The sequence below is a fragment of the Homo sapiens genome, chromosome 5 (assembly GCF_000001405.40).
Source record: "Homo sapiens chromosome 5, GRCh38.p14 Primary Assembly".
NCBI lineage: Eukaryota > Metazoa > Chordata > Mammalia > Primates > Hominidae > Homo > Homo sapiens.
In genome coordinates this window covers 95,529,480-95,555,064 of record NC_000005.10, presented here as the reverse complement: position 1 = coordinate 95,555,064, position 25,585 = coordinate 95,529,480, and the positions used below count along the sequence as shown (strand labels likewise).

The 25,585-nt window shown below is 36.0% G+C and overlaps 1 protein-coding gene across 3 annotated transcripts in view; it reads left to right on the top strand.

Annotated features, from left to right (window-relative positions):
• Window positions 88–25,585, top strand: part of SKIC3 (SKI3 subunit of superkiller complex) — a 91,084-nt gene continuing 65,586 nt past the window's right edge. For 2 of the 3 annotated variants that reach the window (NM_014639.4, XM_047417938.1), the window contains exons 1-11: window positions 88–129; window positions 4,415–4,484; window positions 6,350–6,505; window positions 7,914–8,004; window positions 11,738–11,881; window positions 13,159–13,250; window positions 13,685–13,760; window positions 14,235–14,375; window positions 17,924–18,022; window positions 18,140–18,248; window positions 24,836–24,976. In NM_014639.4, the coding sequence (NP_055454.1) occupies window positions 7,915–8,004; window positions 11,738–11,881; window positions 13,159–13,250; window positions 13,685–13,760; window positions 14,235–14,375; window positions 17,924–18,022; window positions 18,140–18,248; window positions 24,836–24,976 (892 nt within the window). In that variant the 5' untranslated portion in view covers window positions 88–129; window positions 4,415–4,484; window positions 6,350–6,505; window position 7,914. Of the gene's footprint in view, window positions 2,059–4,414; window positions 4,485–6,349; window positions 6,506–7,913; window positions 8,005–11,737; window positions 11,882–13,158; window positions 13,251–13,684; window positions 13,761–14,234; window positions 14,376–17,923; window positions 18,023–18,139; window positions 18,249–24,835; window positions 24,977–25,585 lie in introns of all 3 variants that reach the window. The other variant, XM_047417937.1, reaches the window with a different exon arrangement.

The window sequence follows — 25,585 nt, the reverse complement described above, 5'->3', positions numbered from 1 at the left end:
AAGACCTTTTAATCAAATACCGAGCAAATCAGAACCCAGCCACTTCCAGTCACGTGAATGAGTCCTGGGAAAGGCGCATGCGCTCTCATTGCAGCCTCGGCGTTTGTAGAAGAGGAGCATCTGCTCCAGGTGGGTTTGGATTTCTGTCGGTTTTGCACAAGGGATCCTAAAGGCGATTGAAATGGTACTTAGAGAAAGAAAGGATCGGGGCCGGGGCTGTTCATTTTGGGCCGCGCAAGCGTGGCTGAGTGTTCGGCGAGAGCGTGAACTGGGCGGCGATGAGGTGGCGGCGCGGCTGTCACTTAAGTTGAATAGGGCGGTGCCTTGTGGGGCCTCTGGGTGGACCGCCTCAGGTGCGCCGTGAATGCCTTAGACCCCCCCGAATACCTTCCCAGGGAAATCTCTAGCCTGTCTCATCTTATTGCTTCTCTTACCCCGTGCAGTCAGGATTTACTGTGCTCCCATGGGGCGAGGAGCGGGGCCTAGTAAGAAGTTTCAGGCTGTAGGCAGGGGAAAGCATAGCTGTTCCTTGCCTTCAGAGAGCAAAGGAGATAAGCGAAACTGGAGGGGGAAATGGGCTGTGTGACATGTTCAGTTAGTTGACGTAGGTTCAGAATATCATTGTTTTGCTGCAGAATAAAAACCGGTCTCTTTTGACTGTTGAATTCCTTTGGAGAGTTCTGGAAGAAGCAGATTTCTGTCCCAAAGCCAAATTCCAATTTCTGTATCTAGTTTCGGGTATATAATTTGCACATCACACTAGTAGTTTTAATATTCTGACAGTTAAAAGAGGAGTTATACTACTTACTTAAGTCAACTGAATACTAATATCTGGCAGGTTTTTTTTTGCCTAAGATAATTGTAGTAAGGAACAGATTTGTTTATTTAATACTCACATGGCACTTAGGTGCTGAGCGTTATACTAAGCATTTACTGAGCATCTGCTGCGTGCCACGTACTTTTATATGGAATATTTTCTATAATCCTCACTTTCACCATATTGCAGATAGGAAAACAGGCTTAGAGAGGTTAAATGACTGGCCTGAGTTTACACAGGGAGCCAGTCAGAGCACGACTGAAAATTGAAGAGTCTGTGCCGTAACTCACTAAATGCTCTGTCTGCAGTTAGTTTATCTGTTAGTGTAGCAGAATTGTTACTCAAGCAGCATGATAAAGATCTGCGGGAGCATGCAAAAACGTAAACAGTGTTGGGCGCGGTGGCTCACGCCTGTAATCCCAGCACTTTGGGAAGCCGAGACGGGCGGATCACCGAAGGTTAGGGGTTCGAGACCAGCCTGGCCAGCATGGTGAAACCCCGTCTCTACGAAAAATACGCAAAATACTGGGCGTGGTGGCGGGCGCCTGTAATCCCAGCTACTAGGGAGGCTGAGGCAGGAGAATCACTTGAACCCAGGAGGTGGAGGTTGCAGTGAGCTGAGATCGCACCTTTGCACTCCGCCTGGGCAACAAGAGCAAAACTCCATCTCAAAAAAAAAACAAAAACAAAAAAACCCCTAAACAATAGTCTCAGTTTACATGAGTTTAGATTTCAGGGAAGCAAAACCAAGCATACATGAAATAATAATACAGCACGGAAGGTAATACAAGTGGGCTCTCTCATAAAAACAAATTTGTTTTGAGTTAATTTGGAATGTAGAACGTATTTTCTACCATAGTGACAATATTGACTGACATTTAAATTCATAAAAGTTATATTTAATTTTGTGTCTGATTCCATAAACTGTGCTTACTCTCTACAGCCTTGTTTCCACAGGACATGTACTCTGATGACAGGCTTACAAGAATACATCTTTTTCTTCTTTCTCCCCTTGGCAGTGTCAATAGGAGCAGGTGCTGCAGTGATTTGGAGCAAGACAGATATTTTAGAGCCTTAGAGACGTTGTGCTGGAAGAATCTAAGAGGCTTCTAGTCCTACTTCCCATCTGACATTCAGTTTATCCTAAAACATTCCTGCTGAGTGGATTGTCCAGCCTGTGCTTTTTCATCTCCAGTGATGGGAAACACTTCCATTGAGTACCTCATTCCACATTTATATAGGTCTCATTAAAAGTTCCTATTTTAAGTTGAAGTTAATCTTCCTCTATTTTTAACCATTCATTAGTGCATTTTTCTTCACTTTTACATGGATAATCTCTCCCTTTCAACAGTCCTTCCCCCAACTCCCTCGCCACCATTTATTTATTTTTCCTAGTCCCCAGTTTCTTCAGCTAGTTCTCATAATTTCAGGTTTCCTCATTGTTTTGATTACTCTTTTGTGAACGTACAACATTTTTGCTAATCAGTAATTCTATGCTATCAGAAAAGGTACTCAAGAGAATGTAACCATTTGCCTCACTGCCTACTTCCCTCCCGCCATTTTTCACTCCTGCATGCTCTCCTCTAGAATACTGAGTTCCGAAAGCCCTCTTTGGAAAGTGTGGGTCACAGATGCTTCTGTGGCTTGTTTTTCCCCAGGCGTGTGCTCAAAGTGTGGCTCAATAAACATCTACTGATTGAGACACTTCCCTCAGTCACTCATTTTTTTGTTAACACTGGTAAGCCTTGGAAGCTGGAAGATCATTAGCTATTTATTGAATATGTATTATCCAGTAAGTGTTGGGTATATAAGAAGCTCTGAAAATATAAGACTTACGTCTAAGAATTTATTGAATTGGGAGACATAATTGAATTATGTCTATATAGGATAATAAAAATAATATTTGTTAAGTTGCAGTTGAGTAGCTCAGTTTGGAGGTTTGGAGGAGGGAGTGATCCCTGTTGTAGGCTGTACTCTAGTATTCATGTAGTGTAGTAACTAATATGAAGAGGGTACTCATGTTTGATGATAGCTGTCTTGAGGAATACAGATGCTTCTTATGGTGGGTTACACCATGATAAACCCATTTTAACTTGAAAATATTGTACGTCAAAATGCATTTAATATGCTGATAAGCCCATCGTAAAGTCAAAAAATTGTAAGTTCAACCATTTGTAAGTCAGGGGCCGTTTGTATAGGTAAGAAGTTTACTTCTTGAGAGAGCAAGGAAGAAGGAGGTTGCAGGACGGTTGGGGATTTGAATGTGTAGGGAAAATTTTTAACACTGAGTTATCACACTAGTTGTTTTAGGAATGGCAAGTAGCAAAGTTGATTGAGAGAATAATAGTAGATAGGACATTATTAGTATAGATTATGTCCAAGTACTCCATCTATGTGTGTATCAGGTAAGTGATGTAATTCTTACTTTACCAGTGAGGAAATGGGCTTTGAGTAATGAAGTCATGTACCCAAGGCCTAATGGCTTTGATCCTAGATCCATTTGATTTCCTAAGCTCACTCTCAACTAGGGTAAGCCTTGGTGGGTGGATATGACAGAGTAAAGGGGCTGACAGGATCTAGGGTACTTTGTAAGAACAGAGTTGAAGTGACTGAGTGATAAAACTAGATTGGGTGAGGAGGGCAGCCAAGTGTTAGCAGGGCTAAAGAAGCCAGTGAAATAGTCAAGTTTGTACTTTTTTTTCTTTTTTAACTATTATCTTACTTTCCTAAACATTGTTTGGATTACCATACTTTCTTTTCTTACCAGTAAGACTTTCTACTGTTGGAGTGACACTTCTATTTCGGTAGATCACTAATGAGTGTTTTGGTTAGGGAAACTTTTCATTCCTTGTTCATCCCTACCTGCCTCACCTAAACATTGTTTACTTCCTAGTTCTGAAGTAGCATGTTTTTTTTCACTTTATTCAGTTTTTCAAAACCACTTCCATTCTCTGCAGGGACCATTCTAGATTGTTTTTTGTTTGACAGAAGCCACTTCAGGGATGCTATCAAAATATCCTTAGAATTTGTAGATGTGTAGTTGTGTTACTATTTTTAATGACTATTTAAATGCATTGTTAACATTAAAAAAATTTCTCTGTTTTCATTAGATTACAAACTAATATAATTGTATTATATTATACTCCTTATGTTCCTTAGAGAAAAGTTCTATTCTAATATAATTAGGCTGCAAATTGGGTGTAAATAAGTACCCTTAGTTGTCTGTAGATGTCCTTGATTCAAAGCAAAAATGGCACAGAAATAGTAGATATTCTTCTTTGGCTCTATTTTTTTATATTGACATCAGTGTATTTTGGGTTTCTGAAATGGTTTCTCAAAATCCTTCTGATCTCTTGTAGAAGTTTCCTTTTATCATCTGAGGCCCAGGAATATAGTTTAGACCAATTCAGAAGTTTGGAGATTAAGAATAGTGTCTCTCTGGGAAAGAATAAAAATACTAAAAATTATACATAATTATTTCTCATGTTTTAAATTATGAATTATGAAAATTGATGCGTTAAAAAGTTTAGAAGGTTTTGGGTTGTGGGTGTCATCCTTTTTATATGATTGTCTCATACTTGTTTTTGTTTAATTTAGATGGAAAATGGGTAAGGAACAATCAAATTCAATTCGGGAAGAATATAGAGGTGGTAATAATTGGTAAAAGGTAAGTGTCTACAATGCTAAATAATAAATTGGAATCTATTTTTACTTAATGATTGTTTTTACTCATTCCTTTCAGAAGAAAGATTTAATGGCATAGTTTTTTTTTTTTTTTTAATGTCAGACTATGGGTCATTACAAAATACCTTTTGTTATTAGATTTAAAGATATCGTTTTTTTTCCTTTCTGTAATTAGCTTCCGTTGTCATTATCATTACTATTTATTATTATTGTTGTTTTAGCTTTGTGGAATCTTTGTATGAGCATATTGGAATATTATTTAAGGTTTCATAGCCTCAACTGGGGACATATATATCATACCTATATATGTTGTCCTTGAGGAATATCATTGCCTTTATGGCATGACTGTCACTTTCTAACTCTTTTTAAGTGCAGTTGTTGCCACTTTTTATTCTTGATTTATGTTGGATAAAAATATTTTGGGTTGGTAGTAGAAAAACTTGAGTGAAAACGTACAAAATGAATACTCTTATTTAAAAAAAGACAGTTGAGATTGAGGAGAATAGTGGGAGGAGAGGTATAAGGCGGAAAGAATTAATAGGGAGTTATATTGTGGAAGAATATTAAAGACATCTCCCTCTCTTGCAAGAGAGCTAGATGTTTCTTTGACGTGTTAGAAATCCTTACAATGAAGGGAAATATCCAAAATAGAGGAGTATGGGGTTACGTGGAATCATTTTGGGTAGTAGGTTTTTACCCTCGGAAGGAAAATGGGTTTAAGTGGTACCTAGTAGATGGTTGGATCTCAATAAGGGTTTGTTTAGAAAATTGGTGAATGGACGTTTCCCTTTCCCCTCAAAAATAAAAATAAAAATTAAAAAAAAAGGAAGTAGTAGTTTTTAGGGTTGAAAAGGGGCAGATTATTTTGTCTTTTTACAAATTAAACTTCTGAAACTTACGTACATATATGTGTGTATGCATGAGTGAGAGAGGACCTCAGTGCTAGCGTATTGTGTTAAATGTTGCATCAAATGAAGAAGGAATTGGAAGAGAATAGAGGGTTCCATTGTAGCATGAAGAATTGTAATTACATATGGAGACATACAGATACTGAAGGACATTTAATATTAGAATTGATTACCAAGAGAAAAATGGTGTTTGTTTCTATATAGTGGTCTTTAAAAACAACCTACTTAAAAATTACTAATGGCTTCCTATTTGCTGCTGTATTTAACTTCACACTTGTCTGTTTGACTTTCAGGATCTGTAATCTGAGGCTCTATTTACCTACCCAACCTAATTTTCTTCTGTTTAATAAGTCCCTTCTGATCCATTCAGCCTGGCTTTCTCACTGTTTCCTATACTTGCCACAACTCATTCCCACTTCTGTCACTTTGCTAATGCATTTGCCTCTGAGTAGAGCAATTTTCCTTCTTCACTCCATTTTTAAGTCTTGTCATCTTCTATTAATAGAAGCCATTAATAACATCACACCACACACCTTTCCTTCTCTAAATTCCTATTGCACTTCCACTCATTACCCTTAGTTTAGCATTTGATTATTGAATGACTTATATGTCTTAAGTCTTTCTCTTGATTTAGATTATATTCTTTATATATTTTTTATATCGTGCACAGCAAATAGCTTGGGGGCTGCATGTAGTTTAGTAGTGGTTGGTCCTGCCTTGTTTGTATACATACCCTCATGAATGTTGGGTGATAGAAGAGATGGTGAACTTCCTCCTTATGTAATGGTTGTGGTCTTTTGTTTGTTTTTAATTTGAGACTGTTTTTGTTCCTTTTCAATTTGGACATCTTTTGATTTTTTTACTTGAGTGTCTCTTTTTGTCTCTTTTTATTGATCTAGATCAGTTGTCATCATCCTTGATGTTATTTTCTTCTTTTTAGTCTGCAGGGTTTTTTTTAACCAAAGGAAACTGGTTTGAGAAAATTGTGAAATCAGCATTGAAATTTGTTACCTACTCCAATCAAGATTTGCAAACTACAAAAAAATCATTCTGAAGCTTTCACCTATAAATATATACCAAGATAATTTCAGATAAGGTAGTAGTTTCTAAAGCAAGAACATATGAAATATGGTGCTTTAAATTATATAATTATTGTAACTAGGCAAAAAAGTTACTTATCTGCCTATTTAGGGAATCTGGTTCTAGCTGTAGATAAATTGATTTTATGGTATCTTAATTTTTCTATTATTTTGAATCCTAACATTTTTTAAGTCAAAAAGATTAAAAAATATGTATCTAACTTCTCAAACTTCTTTGGTCTCATACTTCTGTGTTAGCTTCTTCTTTGGATATAAAGGACTGTCAGTGTACCATGTCAGTGATTCATCTTTTTGGTACATTTTACTCCCTTGAGCATCTGAAGCCTATAAATACTTAATATTTACCCCAGCTTTGTTTTACCTTTCTATGAGATTAGAGGAGCTGACAGAAAATACAAATATTTCTTTTTTTCAACATTGAATTATGATTGAATTAGACTTGTTTATAGGTAAGCCAGAATAAGTTGTGTAATCTTAAAATATGCTAATTTATTTAAAATTAATATATCTTAAGACTAAATGAAGAAATACTTTCTCTACTAATTAAAATATCTTTTTATGGCTGAAATTAGTATACAACCCTTTTGCATTATCCATTGCTTCCATTCAAGTTTAAACATTGTTTTTCTTTAGAAAAAGTACAGGTAATAAACCTACAGTAATCCTTATTGTGAAGAAAGTTAATATCTTGATTTATGTTTCACAGAAACTAGCATTAAAACAATGCTTTCTTAAACTTTCATATCACAGTCACTGAAATTATTTGTGTTAGTGTTTTATCTGTGACTTGGGCTTATTCTACTGGATCTAGCTTTGTATAGAGTGGGAGAGTTGGATTGAGATTGGTATGTGTTTTGAGTCCTGATCAACAAGATCATTTGTATTTTAGCCAAAATATATAGAGAATGAATGTAAATAAAATATAACTCAATTTCAACACTTATTAATTGATCATCTATAATTTAAGATACTAGGTCCTGGGGATGCGGCAGTGAAAAAAAAAATTCTTGCCTGCATGGAACTTAGCTTCTTGTGGGGTTGGGACCCAGAAAATAAACAGGATAAATAAGTAGAATATATAGTATATTAAATGTGACAAATGCTTTCAAGAAAAATAAAGCAATGGAAGGGGTTCCGGAAATAATGGGTTGTTGAGAGTAGGGGGATGGCAAGATTAAAATGTTAAATAGCATGTCAAAGGAAGGTTTCATTGAGGAAGTGACATTTGAGTACAGATCTGAAGAGGTTAAGGAATAAACTGTGTATATTCTAGAGGGAAGACTGTTCCAGAGAGAAGGAGTCTTTTCCTTTTCCAGGGTCCCTTTTCAGATGGCTAAGTTTGTTGGAACATTTACGATTGGGTAGGTATTACTGTAGATTTACTCAGGCTTTCTGCCTTGACAGAATGTCCAGCAAGGAAGTGAAGACTGCTCTAAAAAGTGCTAGAGATGCAATCAGAAACAAAGAATACAAAGAAGCTTTGAAACACTGTAAGGTAACCAGTATTTTTTTCTTCCACAATGAAAGTATGTTACCCATTTATAAACATTGTTGATTTGTAATATGTGAATTATTTCCTGTCCAAACAGCAAAAGTGGTAAGGCCATTTAGTAGAACCATTAGAATGGTTGGACTTTTAACCTCTAGTTAGCAGGATAAACTACCTCTGCCAAACTTAACTTTCTCTGTATTGGTAACTTAACAAAACCAAGTTCTTAAAACCTGAATATCCCATAAATATCTTTTGATGGTTGTATCGTGGAATGCTACTGTATCTTAAAGTTTTCATTGTTTAATGGCATGTTAGTGTTCTATTTCTATTTGGTTTGTGGATGAGAGGACCAAGATTATAAAGCTTATTTTTATGCTGATGGGTATGATTCCATTCAGAGGGAGAAATTGGACTCGGGGGAGAGACAGAGGGTAGTGGTAGGAGTGAAGTCATCAGTAGGTGAGAGACACACTGGGATCCAGAGCTTGAGGGAGCCCTTTAATCCTTCTTCCATCTTAGCAGGAGAGAAGATAGGTGCCCATCCATACAGTGTTGGGCTTATAGATTTGGTGTTGGGAAAAGCTTTCTTCTCTAATGGCTTCTATTTTCTTGGCAAAGTATAAGATGAGACTGGGAGAAGACTTGGTTATTGGTTAGGAGGTTTGAGATAGCAGAAGGTATGAAATAGTTTCTTTCTTTGTTTTTTTTTTTGTTTTTTTTTTTTCTCATGGTGGGAAAAGAAACTTGCTAGTAAGGATTGGAAAGATTAGCAGGCCCTAGTGATTGCCCATTTGAAGTTTCAAGCTATTAAAGTGAAATTAGTGAACTCCGCTGTAGTTTTTCTCTTTGTATTCAGTTTCTCAGGTTTGGAGATGGGCATGATGGGGTTCAAGTATGGATGGAGAGAAAGAAGAAAGGAAAGACATGCAAAGGAAAGACATGACAAGGGAGTGATGACAGTGGTGAGCCCTGGAGTCTAAGCTGGGTAAAGAGGAATGAGAAATGAGAGGTGGGCTGATAGGCAATGGAAAAAGCGTTTAGGATAGAAAAAATTAGAGAAACCAAAGGTTAAAGATTTGTTACCATGGGACCACTACAGTAATTGAACTGGGACGGTTAGAGAGGAGCAGAATAGTACTGTGCTGGAAATTCAGATTTTGGATGGGTGAGTAGTGTGGTGGTCACATAACTGAGAGGCCAGAGTGTTCAACGGGATATCAACATGAATACAGGCACTGAGGTGGAAAAGAAGGATACAGAATTTTCACTGAAGGAAAGGGGAATTAGGAAGGTGGTAGACTGTAGCAACAAGAAGGCTATTTTTAGTAGTATAGTTGGATGGCCTGAGCTTCAAAGGTAGTGGGGTTGCTGAAGGAGGAAGGAGCAGTAGAGGACTGTAGGTGACAGACAGTGTGAGCAAGAAGCAGTTTCTCACCTTCTAGGCCTGTGGCATGTGAGCTGTAAAAGAAGTCATCTGCAATCTGTAGGATGTATAGGGGAATTAGCCATGTTTTCATTGAGGCAGAACTTGGTGTGGTTAAAAGAAAGGTTAAAAATATGGAAGGAACTTGGCTGACCCAGATTGGGAGTTCCAGAGGGCACAATGAAGAATTTAGGAGAGTGGTAGGGAGGGAATTGGGCAAGACTGGGCAGTATACATGGCAATATGAGGATGAGTCTAAGGAGTAAACAGGTAAAGGATACCCTTGTGAGGTTTAGGTTTCTGGTGGTGACTGATGGAGCCCAGCAGGGATGCAAGGACGTGATAGTATTAATCTTGATATAGAAGAAGGTGGGCAGTGTGTTCCAAGTGGGGACAGGTTGTGGATGGAATACAAGAAGGGAAGAAGGACTGTTTCCTTCAGCACTAGGTTTATCTAATTGATGCACGTTTCAGTTATATACAGCACCACCATAGCTGTCTTCTTCCTGTAGACTTTCTGCAAAATTCAGATATTAATTCCACCAAATAGTTAATAATTTATACTAGAGAGACCCAATTAGAAAATGCAAATGGATAGCTAATCAGTTATAAATGCCTGATTACTAATGTGTAGTAACCCAGAATATTGGTTGAGACTAAATGAATTTTTGAGTAAAGGAATGTTGCATTTGCTGTGGTTTTGTCTGATCATCACCTTGTCTGCCTGTGGCGCTTTATCACATGGTATGAGTATCCCTTCAGGGAAGCCTTCTCCAGTTTATGCAGAGTTCGGTACTTTTTTCTCTATGTTCTTTCAGAATCTCATACCTGCCTTCACCACATTGTTGATAATCATTTTCTTAAACATCCATTTTGGATTCTGAAAACCTGGTCATCAGGCAGATAGTCAGTACTTAACTAATTGCTGGTTGAGTATGGCATTTTGTTCAGCTGTTAAGTGCCAGCCATTGTACCTGGTGTTGGGAACATAAGCATTAATAAGGCCCCAGTGTTTAGAGCTTAACTTTGGTAGTTACATCATTGTTGTGGTTTGTTAGGAGGCAGCATTATTATGTTGAAGTCAAAATAAATAATTTTATTTTGGGAAACAAGAATTGCAATTTGGGGCATACACACACAGGCTAAGTGGTCTTTTGTATGTCTGAAGAACAAAGAGAAGATTGGCCATTTTATTGGAAAGAAAAATGTTATGTATTATTTTGAAAGAAAGCTCACTGGTACTAGAGAAGCTTTTGGGAGCTGGCAGGCTCTGATTGGTGAGTGACGATGGTAGGTAAAACTAGACTTAGAGTCATGGCAGCTACTGGGGAAAACTGGTCTTAGGGTTACAGCAGGCCCTCTCAGCAGCCGGGCTTTTGGAAAATTTAAATCTTGGAGCAGGTGCTATGAGGCCTGAGTGCCTTTTCCCCCTGGTGCTCCCTTTACTCTGACTTAGGTGACAAGAATGACCCAATTTGTGTAATCAGTGTGTTCACAGATAGAATGGAGCTTGTACTGCATATTAGGGACAGATTATTAGGAGTGTTGTGTGGAAACACTCAAGTCTAATAATATGACTCGCTTAACTCATGGAAATGTTCTTATTTTCTCTGGAATAATGTAAAACCTTAAGAGGCTAATTTCATTTTGGCTACTGGTTTTGTTTTTCTTTCCCTAGAACATACTTGCTAACTGCTTCAAGCTGTTTTATTTTACCTTTAGCAAGTAGCTGTTATTTCTGAAAGCAATTATCTCTACATATAATTTTTATTCCAGTTGGCAGGTGTTGTTTAAACATCATTGCCACTATTTATTTTGAACATATTTGGTATAATCGCACTGGGGTGAATCTACTTTCCTAGTCTTAATCTTGAGAAAAATCCATGTGTCTAATATGGGGAAACTATCATGGTGAAGGAAAATATGAGAGTTGGATTAAGTGAAATGAGATGGAGAACAGCTTTGTGAATTTGACCAGTAGCAGTATGGAGACAGGCAGGATGATTGAGTAGTTATTGTTCTTTTTATACCCAGTATTCTCAAAGAGCATGGGGAGGCATTTGGTGGAGGTGTCAGTATCCCTCGGGCAGCTTTAAAAGAAACCACCTGTTATTTCAAAGCCATTATGGTCACTCCTACAGTCCAACTCCTTCCCCTGAGGAAACTGAAACCAGATAGGTTAAATGGCATTCTGAAGTTTGCCCTGTTAAGTGGTAGATATAGATTTCCTGACTCATGCTAGACTTTCTGTTATTGTTAGTTCATTTGCTTCGAAAATTTACTAACCTACTCTTTTAATTTTTTTTAAATCAGACAGTGTTAAAGCAAGAGAAAAATAACTATAATGCCTGGGTTTTTATTGGCGTTGCTGCAGCTGAACTAGAACAACCTGATCAGGCCCAGAGTGCCTATAAAAAAGCTGCTGAATTAGAGCCAGACCAATTACTAGCTTGGCAGGTATGTAGAAATTTTTTTTTTCTGTATTATGGAAATGGATTTTTTTTTGCATTTTTCAAAATACAGGTTTCAACATTAAACTAAGCATTTAAACCTACATTTGCCCCATGTAAGAAAAAATTTAAATTTATTGGTTTTCTAAACCTAAAAGTTAGTTTAGAAAAAAAGTGGTGCAAAGGATGTTGTTTAACACTATTTAATATCCTACCTAATGGATTATTTCTAATGTGAGCACTCAAATATAAATCTCTACCTTAGTTATATGTGCATATAAAAGACTTCTCCACAATATTATTCTTTATGCTTACCTGAGGAAAAAGAAATGTTTTTTAATGTTTCCTAAAAATAAAATAATATAAAAATGTTAATGTTTCTATCTTTGAGTGCAAGTTAAATTCTTTTTTCTTACTTAGTGGCCTTAATGTTTTTACTTAGATTCTCCAACTTTTTCACATTTAATAACTTTGTTTGGTATCTCAGTCACACCTTTGAAACTGATTAATACGATGTAGTAGGCCCTGGAGGGTGTGAACCTGTTTGTCTCAGGTTCATGTGAATAAGAACTTGAGGATATCTGGTAACACAGTTAGAGAAATTGCTGCTTTTATAATGGACTGAGTGGTTTAGGATATCTGATCGTTCTTTAATGCAAAAATGACAATTTTCACAGACTACTTGATTTTTTTTTGTTTGATCATATCATAAAGGTAGTGTCACATAGATCTTAAAATTAAATCTTCTCACCTCTCCCCTGCCTCCCCCGCCACCAGTGGTAACTACGTAGCATGGTTATGTTAGTTAGCTTGATTATGGTGGTCATTTCACAGTGAATACATATATCAAAACATCAAGTTGTACACCTTAAAAACATACAATTTTTATATGTCAATGATATCACAATAAAATACTTTAGATCACATGCTGAAATTGAAAAAAATAATGTCATATAGTAATCTTAGATGGTAAGATTGTAGAATAGCCATTAAAAGTGTTTATTATTGTGAAGCACTTCTAATGAATTTTCGAAAGAAAAGGGAATGATATACCTCTTTATTCCTGTCACCCATACTCAACAATATCCACTTTACCTGTGCCCTCCGACCCCCAGCTATTATATTTAGAGGCAAATCTCAGACAGATCATTTCATTTGTAAATTATAATAATCCTTTTTCAGAAATAATCTTTATAGATTATCATATTATTTAGCAAAATAAATGAATGTGAGAACAGCAAATGTTTTAGGAAAAAGAATAATCATGAGTACTTCTTCTTTTAGGGGTTAGCAAACTTGTATGAGAAATATAATCACATAAATGCTAAGGATGACTTGCCTGGTGTTTACCAAAAGCTCCTGGATCTTTATGAGAGGTAAGAAATGTATGAGGAAAGTCCAGTTTCTTTCAAAGCTTGAATTTTAATAAACTGATTAAAAATCATGTAGAAGTATTCCAGCATTTACTGGGAATTGCGAAGCTTTTTTTTTTTTTCAAACATTTGTCGTAGAATCTTTTGTGATTAAAATAGAATCAAAACACTACTAGTAAGAGGATTGACTAATTTTGGAACTTTGACATTATTTTCAGTCAATATAATAGAAGATAATATTTCTTAAACCTTTTCTTTTTTATGAGGAGCTCATTTTAGAAAATTTTACTGTAGTATGAAAGAAGATATGTTCTAATTTAAAATAGTACCTGAAATTATTATTGGAATACTTAAATTTTAGTGTTTTAAGTCCTTGGTTATTTTTATTAATCAGATTCAAAATCCTTTTGTGTGTGTGTGTTTTGTTTTGTTCTAAGTGTTGACAAGCAGAAGTGGTGTGATGTCTGCAAGAAACTTGTGGATCTATATTACCAAGAAAAGAAACACCTAGAGGTTGGTGAATGATTTTCTGACTTCTTTTAATAATAGATGGGCTGGGCGCGGTGACTCACACCTGTAATCCCAGCACTTTGGGAGGCTGAGGCAGGCAGATCACCTGAGGTCGGGAGTTCGAGACCAGCCAGACCAACATGGAGAAACCCTGTCTCTACTAAAAATACAAAATTAGCTGGGCATGGTGGCGCATGCCTGTAATACCAGCTACTCAGGAGGCTGAGGCAGGAGAATTGCTTCAACCCAGGAGGCAGATGTTGTGGTAAGCCGAGATTGTGCCATTGCATTCCAGCCTGGGAAACAAGAGCAAAACTCCGTCTCAAAAAAATAAAATAAAATAAAATAGATGGGGTTCTATGCTTTTGCTATTTTTATATATTAACAAATTAAAAATGTTTTTATTTGCAGATTTTACATTTTTATTGGCATTTTTACATTTTGGACAAAATAATTTAAAATCTCCTTCTTTAATAGGTGGCTCGAACATGGCACAAGTTGATAAAAACACGGCAGGAACAAGGTGCAGAAAATGAAGAGCTTCATCAACTATGGAGAAAATTGACTCAGTTCCTGGCTGAAAGTACAGAGGACCAGAATAATGAAACTCAGCAATTGGTATTGACTCATTTATTCCTCAAGTTTGTTCATGAAAATTGATCATTTAATTGAATTTAGAAAATGGAAACATAATTGATCATTGTCATTTTAATTTCCATTTCCATAGTAATGTTGAACATCTTTTCATGTGTTCATTTGCACCTGTATATTTTCTTTGGTGAAGTGTGTGTTCAGATCTTTGCTCATTTTTTATTGGGTTTGTTTCTTTTTATGGAGTTTTTTTTTTAATTTTTAATTTTCATAAGTTTTTGAGGAACAGGTGGTATTTGGTCACGAGTAAGTTCTTTAGTAGTGATTTGTGAGATTTTGGTGCACCCATCACCCGAGTAGTGTACACTGAACCCAATTTATAGTCTTTTGTCCCTCACCTTCCCCCAAGTCCCCGAAGTCCATTGTATTATTCTTATGCCTTTGTGTCCTCATAGCTTAGAGTGAGAACATACAATGTTCTTATCATATGTTCACGTATGAGTGAGAACATACGATGTTTGGTTTATCATTCCTGAGTTACTTCACTTAGAATAATAGTCTCCAGTTCCATCCAGGTTGCTGCGAATGCTATTAATTCATTCCTTTTTATAGCTGAGTAGTATTCCATTGTGTGTGTATGTGTGTGTCTGTGTCTATCTATATGTATATATATCACAATTTCTTTATCCACTCATTGATTGATGGGCATTTGGGCTAGTTCTGTATTTTTGCAGTTGTGACTTGTGCCGCTATAAACATGCATGTGCAAGTATCTTTTTTGTATAATGACTTCTTTTCCTCTGGGTAGATACCTAGTAGAGGGATTACTGGATCAAATCGTAGTTCTACTTTTAGTTCTTTTTTTTTTTTTTTGAGGCAGAGTGTCACTCTGTTGCCCAGGCTGGAGTGCAGTGGTGCAATCTCGGCTCACTGCAACCTCTGCCTCCTAGGTTCAAGCAATTCTCCTGCCTCAGCCTCACAAGTAGCTGGGATTACAGGCATGTGCCACGATGCCTGGCTAATTTTTGTATTTTCAGTATAGATGGGGTTTCACCATGTTGGCCAGGCTGATCTCAAACTCCTGACCTCAAGTGACCCGCCCACTTCAGCCCCCCAAAGTGTTGGGATTACAGGCGTGAGCCACTGAGCCCAGCCTACTTTTAGTTCTTTAAGGAGTCTCCGCACTGTTTTCCATAATGGTTGTACTAGTTTACACTCCCACCAGCAGTGTAGAAGTGTTTCCTTTTTACCACATCCACACCAACATCTATTTTTTTTATTTTTTGATTATGGTCATTCTTGCAGGAGTAAGGTGGTATTGCATTGTGGTTTTGATTTGCATTTCCCTGATCATTAGTGATGTTGAGCATTTTTTCATGTTTGTCAGCCATTTGTATATCTTCTTTTGAGAATTTTCTGTTCATGTCCTTAGCCAACTTTTTGATGGGATTGTTGTTTTTTTTTCTTGCTAATTTGTTTAAGCTCCTTATTGATTCTGGATATTAGTCCATGAATTACATTGGAAATAGGACATTCAATGATAATTCAATGGATGCTCAAAAAAAAAGGATTGTATGTTAGACTAGGTGTTTTGTAAATGTACAATTTTAAATTCACAGAGGCTCTTCTAGATAAAGTCAGAATTATTGGCCTGTAGTCTCATACGGAGTCTGGATGGAGTGGAATTGGTACTCATGGTATCAGAATTTCATTCTCTTGTGTTCATAAGAATCTGCAATACATCAGTAACTTAATCACTGTAAAAAAGAAACTGAATTGGCTTTCACAAAACTGCTTATGGTGTCTAAGAAGTTATACTTTTAAAGGTGTGTTTCTTTACACTTCTGAACTAAGAGTACTGAATTACTTTGAGGTTTAACAATTCCACTGTTTAGAGTATTTATATTTAGTATTTAGAGTAAATTTAGTATTTAGTATATTTATATTTAGTATTTTTCACCTAGAAAAAAAGTCTTTATGGTGCAGATTTTAAAGTAATTGAAGAGAATTTTTGTAAGACTAAAAAATAATTGGTTTTGAACCACATTTGGAAAATATGTCTATCATTCTCCTTTTTTTATTTGTAACTTTAAAAGTCAACTTAATGTCTTATTATAGTAAATAGCTACTTAATGTACACTTGTTAAATTGAGTGGAATTTTTAAATAAACAAATATAGACTCTATATAGGATAGGAAGTTCATTTCTTTGTGTTCATTTGTTCATTTGTTCATGTGTTCATTTGTTCACTCATTAATTTGTTTATTCAGAAAATATTTATTGACTACCTATTATGTGTCAGGCAGGGTCCTAAGAGCTGGGGATAAAAATGTGAGAATAAGATTTCTTTTTTGTGTGTGATAACATGATTTATCTGTGCATAGATTCAATTGTGGAAAAAATTGAGCAGTGACAAAATTAGGTAGCTTAGCAGTTTCTCTTAAATTGTATAATATCATAATATAACTTTATTATTTTCCTTAAAATAATGTAGGTTACCAGAATATCAAACACATTTCAAAATAAGTAAAATAACTTTTTGGATGGTCTATCCCACCCTCCTCCATGACAGAGAATTAATTGTACTTAAGATTTTAAGAATCGATTTCTAACTGTTAGTAATAGATAAAAGGATGAGGGGATTTATTGTTACCTACCTTGAATACTGAGTATTTAGAAAAAAATGTATTACAGATTTTTCATTTGGAATAATTTTATTACTGTTTTTAAAAATCTTTTATGCTAGACTGTTTTGAGGTATGTTCCTTCTTTGTAAGATTGTTAACTTTATCAGGGCAGCAAAATTTTACTTATTTACATAGACTTTATACCATACTTTCCAAAGAAAATTTGAGATATTGAATTACATTATGGCTTTTTGGTATTAAGTCATGAGTATTCATTTTAAAATGCAGAACGTGTAGCCAGCTGAGTGGTATGAAGTGCTTTATACCACTTGCCTTGGATTCTAGTATTGCTGTTCTTATTCCAGACATATTTAGAAGGCCTGTTGGCCTTCAAAGCCAGTTAATACTGCATAAGAGAAGTGATGGAATGTTCTTCAGAGTCAGCTAATACTGCATAAGAGAAGTGATTTCATAACAGTTCAGTCATATCTCTGCTTTTCTTTTACCAAAAGTATCACCCAACTTTATAACTGCTTTTTAAAGGTTGAAGATTTGCTATCATTGAAGATACTTCAAAGAACGTGCTAGTGATTTCAGAATTGTTTTAAAAATGATATGTGAGCAGTAGCAGCTATACTAGCATATAAGACTATACTCTGGTTGACTACTTTGTAGGAGACAGCAGGCACTTGGAAGTGCGTTTTGTTAAATTAATGTTGTTAATGTATAGTTGTTACTTACCAGTTGAGTGCAGTTTGCTGGCCAGTTGGAGTTAGAATGCATTCCAAAACTTACATGTACATTTTTTTCCTCGTTGAAGTTGTCAGGGTTAGACTGTAGAATACATTTGCAGTTAATTGAACGTGTAGTTTGTGTAAGAGAGTCTTATACATTTAATCATTTGTCATTTAAGTATGATACAGATGATAGCTTTTTTATTTGTTTCAGCTTTTTACTGCTTTTGAGAATGCACTGGGATTATCAGATAAGATTCCTAGTGAAGATCACCAAGTACTTTATAGGCATTTCATTCAGAGTTTATCCAAAGTAAGTTGATTTTTTAAATCTCTAATGTGACTTGTATGTATTTCTAATTAGGAAAGTGTTCATAAATACATTTTACTACTACTAGAATGTAGTGTATTTTGCTTTTATATTTTCAAGTTTCCTCATGAGTCTGCTAGATTGAAGAAGGCCTGTGAAGGAATGATAAACATCTATCCTACTGTACAGTATCCATTAGAAGTGCTTTGTTTGCATTTAATTGAATCAGGTAATTTCTTCCTTATTATAGTGTGTGTCCTAGAGGTGTGTGATTATGTGAGTGATGTTATTAATCAAAAAATGTTTTAGTGTCTACCATGTTTAAGGTGTTGTTTCTGTGTTTCTGGACATAAAAAGAAGTATAATGTGTAGTCTTTGTGTATATGAAAAGACTAATAAATATAGGAAAGTACAGTAATACAGAAGAATTATGAGTTGCCAGATTTATTGTTAGTCAGTGAAATCTTTTTAATGGTGGAAATTGGAGGGGGTCTTGAATTTTTTATAGAAACTAGGTAAACAGGAGTAGGTGAAATATATTCCAGCTGGCATGAGCAGAGATGTGGAGCTAGGTGCATTTTTTAGGAATGGTAAAATAGGTTTGCTTGTTATAGTGGAAGAAATAACTAAGATATATTTTGGCTAAATAGGTCAGGCTATATTACACAGAGCTATGAATATCACAGAAAGGATTTTTGGAAAGTTTAGCTGCCTCAGTGTTGATGTTATGTCACAGTGTCATAAGAACACTGTTATGAATACTGTAATATTATAAAGTAATTAAATTCCTGAATCTCCTTTTTTAATGAAATAGAGCATATTCAAATGGGAGAATTTGTCTCTGTGTATGCTTCATGCTCTTGTATCTTCATGTACTTTGTTTGGGAGGAAGAGAGAACTGATGACAACTAGCTTGCTGGGAGTTGGGTAACCTGTAGCTGTGGAAGTCTTGTGTCCAGGGCTGGTATTCCACCAGTTAACAAGAGGTTGGCTGTATTGGTTTTTCCACCAGCCTCTTTCCTTTTGGTCAGTATCTGTGCTGAATAGATTTTTTTTTTTAATAACCTGAATTTCATGCCCTACTCTCTTGAGGTGAACAAATTCACAGAAGTCAGTCACTGAAATAGAAATATTAGTACGTACACCAGTGTGGTAGTGATTGTCAATTATTGTGGAGCTTTACTAATCCATTTAATTTTTTTCACTTTGTTGCTAAATGAGTATATACATGAGAATGCTTTGTATGTGAATGACCCTCACATGTGTCATAGTGAAAAAAGGGTTGAAAACTACTGCTAAAGATAACTGTGAAGGAAAATTCCTTGGTAGAAAATGACCATTGCACCTATCTCAGTTCTCCTCATTTTAACTCTCCTTTAAAGTCCTCTTTTACTTTTTTTTTTTTCCTGGTGTCTGAATTAAAAAATGCTGTTACTGGCCGGGCGCGGTGGCTCACACCTGTAATCCCAGCACTTTGGGAGGCCGAGGCAGGCGGATCACGAGGTCAGGAGATCGAGACCATCCTGGCTAACACGGTGAAACCGCGTCTCTACTAAAAATACAAAAAATTAGCCGGGCGCGGTGGCGGGCGCCTGTAATCCCAGCTACTCAGGAGGCTGAGGCAGGAGAATCGCGTGAACCCGGGAGGCGGAGGTTGCAGTGAGCCGAGATAGCGCCACTGCACTCCGGCCTGGGCGAAAGAGCGAGACTCCTCAAAAAAAAAAAAAAAAAAAAAAAATTGCTGTTACCTTCAGCTCTGGTTTTGGTAGAAGCAGATGCCCTTTGCCTTACTTTAACTGAGTCAAAGATAGACTTAGGAGAGTACTTTTTACTACCATAAGAAGAAAGAGAACATAAAAAGTATAGTGAGTGGAGTATAAAGTCTTAAACTAACATGGTGTGCAGGACAGATTGTATAGAAGGTGGACTAGCTCCAGTACACTAGGTGACAGTAGGTTTGAATGAACGAGGAGTATGATAGTGAAGATAGAAAGGAACAGATGAATGAAAAAATGAAAGTGATTTCTTAGACGGAGAGACAAAAATCAATTTTAACTTTCACCTCTCCTGAAAAGTTGGCCCAATATGGCATGATGATTTGTATGAAATGTAGGTTATTGAGAGGAGATGTTAATGGGGCAGTTAATGAGAAATGCCCATCAGTGGTTTGCAGATGAGAGATCAATACTAAGCGTAGACATATGGTTTGGAAGTCATTTGCATGTAGGTGAAAATGACGTGGAATGGTTACCATCAGAGGAGGACTAAAGGGAAAAATACTGAGAACTGTACTTTGGGCAGTGCTGGCTGGCTTGGAGGGAAAGAGATGAAAAAGAGAAAGGGAGTAAGTGAAGGAAGAGAAGGGATGAGGTCAGAGAAGAAGGTGGACTCTGACGAGAAGCAACACAAGACGACAGGGAAAGAGCATTTCAGAAGTGAGATTATTATGGTCTGTCTTGACAGATTGAGCCAACTGAGTTTATGATTGTGAGGCTTTTTATTAAGGCTATCTTTTTAAATGAAAGTGATTGAATTAGAGCTTAGATTACAGTGATGGGGAAAGAATAGGAAAAAGCAGGTATACAAAGGAAAGTGGACTAAGTGCATTAGGGAGTAGTAGGATGAGAAAGTGAAGCCCGCAGAGGGGATAGTAAGCTTTTAGAGGGGTGGGAGAAGAACTGCAATAGCTGCCTGGCAGGAGTGGTGTAAGAAGAAATAGTTAGTAGGTGAGATAGTTAACATTATGAGAGTGTTGCACTGAGGCTGAGGAGGATGAGGTACATCAAGCACAAGGAGCATACTTAGGAAGTCTTGTGATTTTTTTTTTTTTTTCCTGATAGGAAGCTGAGTTCTAAAATCACCCAGATCCTTCCAATTTTAATATAAGACTCAGTGTGTTCCAAAGATAAGTAGGCTGATTTTCTTTATTGTATGGCCCCTGGTACCAATTCTTTTTCCCTATTCTGCTGTTACTGTTGTTATTGAAAAATTAATGGCTGGTGTTCACTCTTTTCTCTTTATTTCCTATTCAGCTATTTATGGTTTTCACCATTACCTCAGCCTTGGCCTTGCTCACATGCCAAATGACACAGTGAATACTTTGAAAATTCTTTTTGAGGACTGACAGAATGCTTTCTCAATAAGCATAAATGTACCTATAATGTAGACTTGTCCTTATATTCTAAAAAGCCTACAAAATAATAGAAAAAAATAGGATCAACAATAGTCTACAGAGTTTTGCACATAAATTCAGTGGTTGACAAAGTGCTCTGATAAAGACATAGTGAAGGGATTATACTGATTGATTAGAAAGTGTCTTGGTTTAAATGAAAAAAATCATTTTTGAGTAAGGTTCTGGATTTGTATTATGTAGAATGGAAAGAAAAGAAGGTCTATATCACAGCAAAAAGAGTGTATATGTGGATATTTACAGATATGGTAAAATCAGGGAAGAGTTCTTTCCCTTCTGAATTGTTGGTTGCAGGAATTTGTGGAACTGAGAAATTCAGGTTTGGGTACATTTCAAGTTAAAGTAGTATTCTTGAGGTGGAAGTTCAATAGTTAATGTAGGACAATAGGAATCTGTGCTTTTTTCTTTTTACTGCTCCTCTAAACCCGACTTTCAGTGTATTGAGAACTTCTGAGAATCTGTAAGGTCTCTGAAGTCTGAGCCGCCCTCCCACAAAGTACTTCAGTATGTACAGAATTTGCTACTTCACAGCAGTTAATCACTGGGTTCTCCTCCACTGAGAACAAATGTATTTCATTCTCCTTTGTCCTGCTTTGCCTGTTGAGAATTGAAAATTCATTTTCAAAATGACTCAGTTTATAAAGCTTCATGTAACAAGTAGTGAATGGCTTTCACAGTTGTCATCTGTTGAAATTTTTTTTCATGCTAAATGACTTTTTTATTTATCTTATTTTGCTTTGTTACTGAAATGGGGGAGGATAAAAAAGCTTGGTTCTTCAAATTCAAGCAGAAAAGAGCTGGATTAAGATTTTCTGCTTTAAAACTATTAGAAAATCCAGGTGAAGATAAATATGAATGCCACCAAATTGTACATGGTTTTTTTCCCCCCTCAAGCTAAGTTTATTTAAAAGAAAAATTAGATAGTATTGATCAGCTTTTTTTGGGATGTCAGAAATTAATTTTTTAAAAACCGACTTTTTGTAGTAAACTTTAAGAAACAGAATTTCATAGTTATTACTCAGCATCCAACACGGACCTCTTCAGAATACCCTCTACCCTTGGAATTTGAGCATTCATCAGCCCCAAATCTGGCTTGCGTTTTTGAGAAATAAAAATAATATTGTCTAACTGTTTTAAAGTTGTTAAATGTGGAACCTTAGAATCCTTTAAATGTTAAAAAGAGCAGTTAAGTAAATGATTTTCTATTCATTTGCAATGAATAAGATTCAAAAGCAATGAATTCTATTTCCTCTGTTTTTGTCCTCCACCAAGGTATTTATTTAGCTAGTATTCTCAACAAGAATAAGTATGAATAAGAGAAGGATTGATAGTTGAAGCTGAAATATTCCTTGTCTCTTTATACAAGGATCATTAGTGTTGTTATTACTGTTGCTAGTTTTGGGAACACTATAGAAAATTCCTCTCAGTGCCGCTTGGTCATATGCAGAGAATTGTTACCCAGGGCCGAACATGAACATAGTCTCCCCAGATCTTATTTTGTTTTTATTGTTATGCTCCCAGGCTTTAGCAAAGGAAATATGTTAGGAAGGTTTACCTTGTTTTAAAAGTCGTTTATGTTCATCTCAGCCTTTTGGAAACTATTTTCGTGTACCAACCCACACTTTGATTACCTGTGTGTTGTTTAAGCTACCCTAAATATGGATGTTCACTGGAGAGATGCATGATTTTTCTTAACTATTTTCATCCCAGGTATATTTCCTGTAATACAGGCAGTTTATGTAGTCAAGGTAGTCTGTCATAAATTATGTTTCTATGGAGGCAGGGTGTTTAGACTGAGATGGGTAGAGATAAAAGATAAGAGTTTGGTAGCTATTTTTTTTTAGGATGGTGAAGATTTTTAATTTTTTGTAGTAATTTTCAGCTGTTACCTATTAACAGACTAAGCCTTTTTGAATATCAGTTCATAATGGTATTTTTAAAGGATCGTCACAAGATTTAATGAACACCTACCACATATCAGATGCCATGCTGGTCTGTACTCTCCAGAGGTTACCATTTAGCCACAGAGGCAATAAGGGCAGAATATACATGTTATAAGACTAATAGTAAAGGTCATATATGGTATTAGCAAATATTGTAGACCTGTGGTCTTTAAGTATGATATCTGGACCAGTAGCATCAGCATCACCTGGTAACTTCTTAGAAATGCAAATTCTTAGGTCTTAAACAGACCTACTGAACCATAAACTTCAGGGATAGGGCTCAGCAGACTGTGTTTTAACAAGTCTTCCAAGTGATTCTGATAGTGCAGACAATGTCTAGTTTAGACAATACCACTGGATCAAAAGGGAAAAAGCTGCTAGTTTTCTTGGGAGGGTATAGGGTGTATGGAACTAGACATATCTATTTTTGGAATTCATATTTATGGAAGCTATGGTGAGAAAATATTGACAAGGAAGTTCATGCCTGGAAGCATAATAGTAGCAGGCTTGTGTCTTTTTCACTGGCTTACTAATCAAAGTAGTATTTCTTCCAATTTGTTTTCATATTTTGCCAAATATACTGAAGTTTTAACTCTTTAGCCATTATTAATTCTTTTCATTTTTGGTGCCAACTTGGATTTCTAAATCAGTATATAACATATTACTACATATTACTAATGGATTATACATTGGTTTGCAAATGGTTTTTAAAATTTGAAATATATGAGCTACATGGTATTATGCAAATAATTTACCTTTGACATCTGTAACTGAAACAGTGGTTCTACATGTGGTTTGGGCTTCTATGTTTTATATAGTTATTAAAGCATCGGGTCTTTTTTTTTCAGGAATTTTTTTTGTTTCCCATATTTATTGCTTCAAGTTGTAGTTTGTCTTTTTAAGAATTCTCCTATGTGATTAAATGATTTATTAAACTTGTGAATGCTATTCACAATTTATTCTAAAACAGAAATTACAATTTTTTGTTTGTTTTGATGCTTTTGTGGGATTGAGATTGGGGAAAATGGAAATATTACAAAATATATAATGTTTTCTAAACTATTTTACCAAAATAAATTTGAAAATAAAATAAATGTAGGCATTGGATGACTATCTCATAAGTGTCACAATTCACTTATATAGAAAAAGATAGTTTTAGAAAAATGTGGAAATGTACTGGTAAATTTGTAGACTTAAGAGGAATGTGACTAAGTCTTTGTGCAGTGTCCTGATGAGTAACCCGCCTATCTTGTGATCCTTGGATGCTGGAAGAGTCTGCTGGATCTGACTAACATGTCTCTAGCAGCGCATGGTTGCCCAGGAAGAGAACTTGAGGAAGACACTCTGCTTTGACAAGGGCTCCTTCATTTGACAACCAAATTGTTACAGCTGGCAAGCAGTAGGCTATGTGGCTTAGTCTACTGGCAAGTAGCAGGTTTCTTGTCTGAAATCCTAAAGTGGTTTCTACTTCCAGTATTTAAGAAGATGAAAAATCATAATTATTTAAATTAAATGTTAATATTTTCTGCATTTGCTGGTCTATTTAAATTTTGAATTTCTGGAGTCAGCATGTGGTGAAGAATGCATAAGAATATAAAGGCAGATTTTGAGATTTAAGAATATGGGTTTGGGCATTTAGAAACTCGATATATGTATACTAATAACCTTTCCTTTTAATTCCAGGAAATCTTACTGATGAGGGGCAGCAGTATTGTTGTAGATTAGTGGAAATGGATTCAAAAAGTGGTCCAGGCCTCATTGGCTTAGGCATTAAAGCATTACAAGACAAAAAGTATGAAGATGCTGTTAGGAACCTAACAGAAGGTAAATGTACAGTGTATGGCATGTAACGTGAAGTATAATTATTATTCAGTCAGTAGGCATTTATCTTTGAGCCTTTCTTTAAGGAATGTCTATCTAAGGTGGAAGGGAAAAAATGTACCTGCATACCTTGGACTCTGCTTAGGTTTGAACTCTGACTCTGCTTATCACTAATTTCAAGACCTCAGAAGAGTTAAACTTACTGTGTGTCAGTGTTTTCATTTGTAAAATAGGTATATCTATATAGAAAGAGAGAAAAAAGAAAAGAAAGAAAGCAAAGCAAAAAGTAAATTGGGAGGGAGAGGGAGGGAGGGAGGGAGGGAGGAAGGCAGACATGTAGATATATATGCATTAGGAACTTAGGCTTTAACTTAGTCTTACTAGGTATGATGTTTCTGGAAGAACCTACATTCAAATTATAGATCTGAATGGTAAATACAAGCCAGGTAGGTGGTTGAAGGGAATGGGAAGAACATTTTAGGCAGAGATGAATCTGTGAAATAGCCTGAGCTAAGAGGAAAACTGTTGTTCAGAGAACTGCAGGTAGTTCACCAGGGTTTGAGAATGAAGTGTATGTACAGGAGGGGACAAGAAGTGAGATTGTAGAAGGGC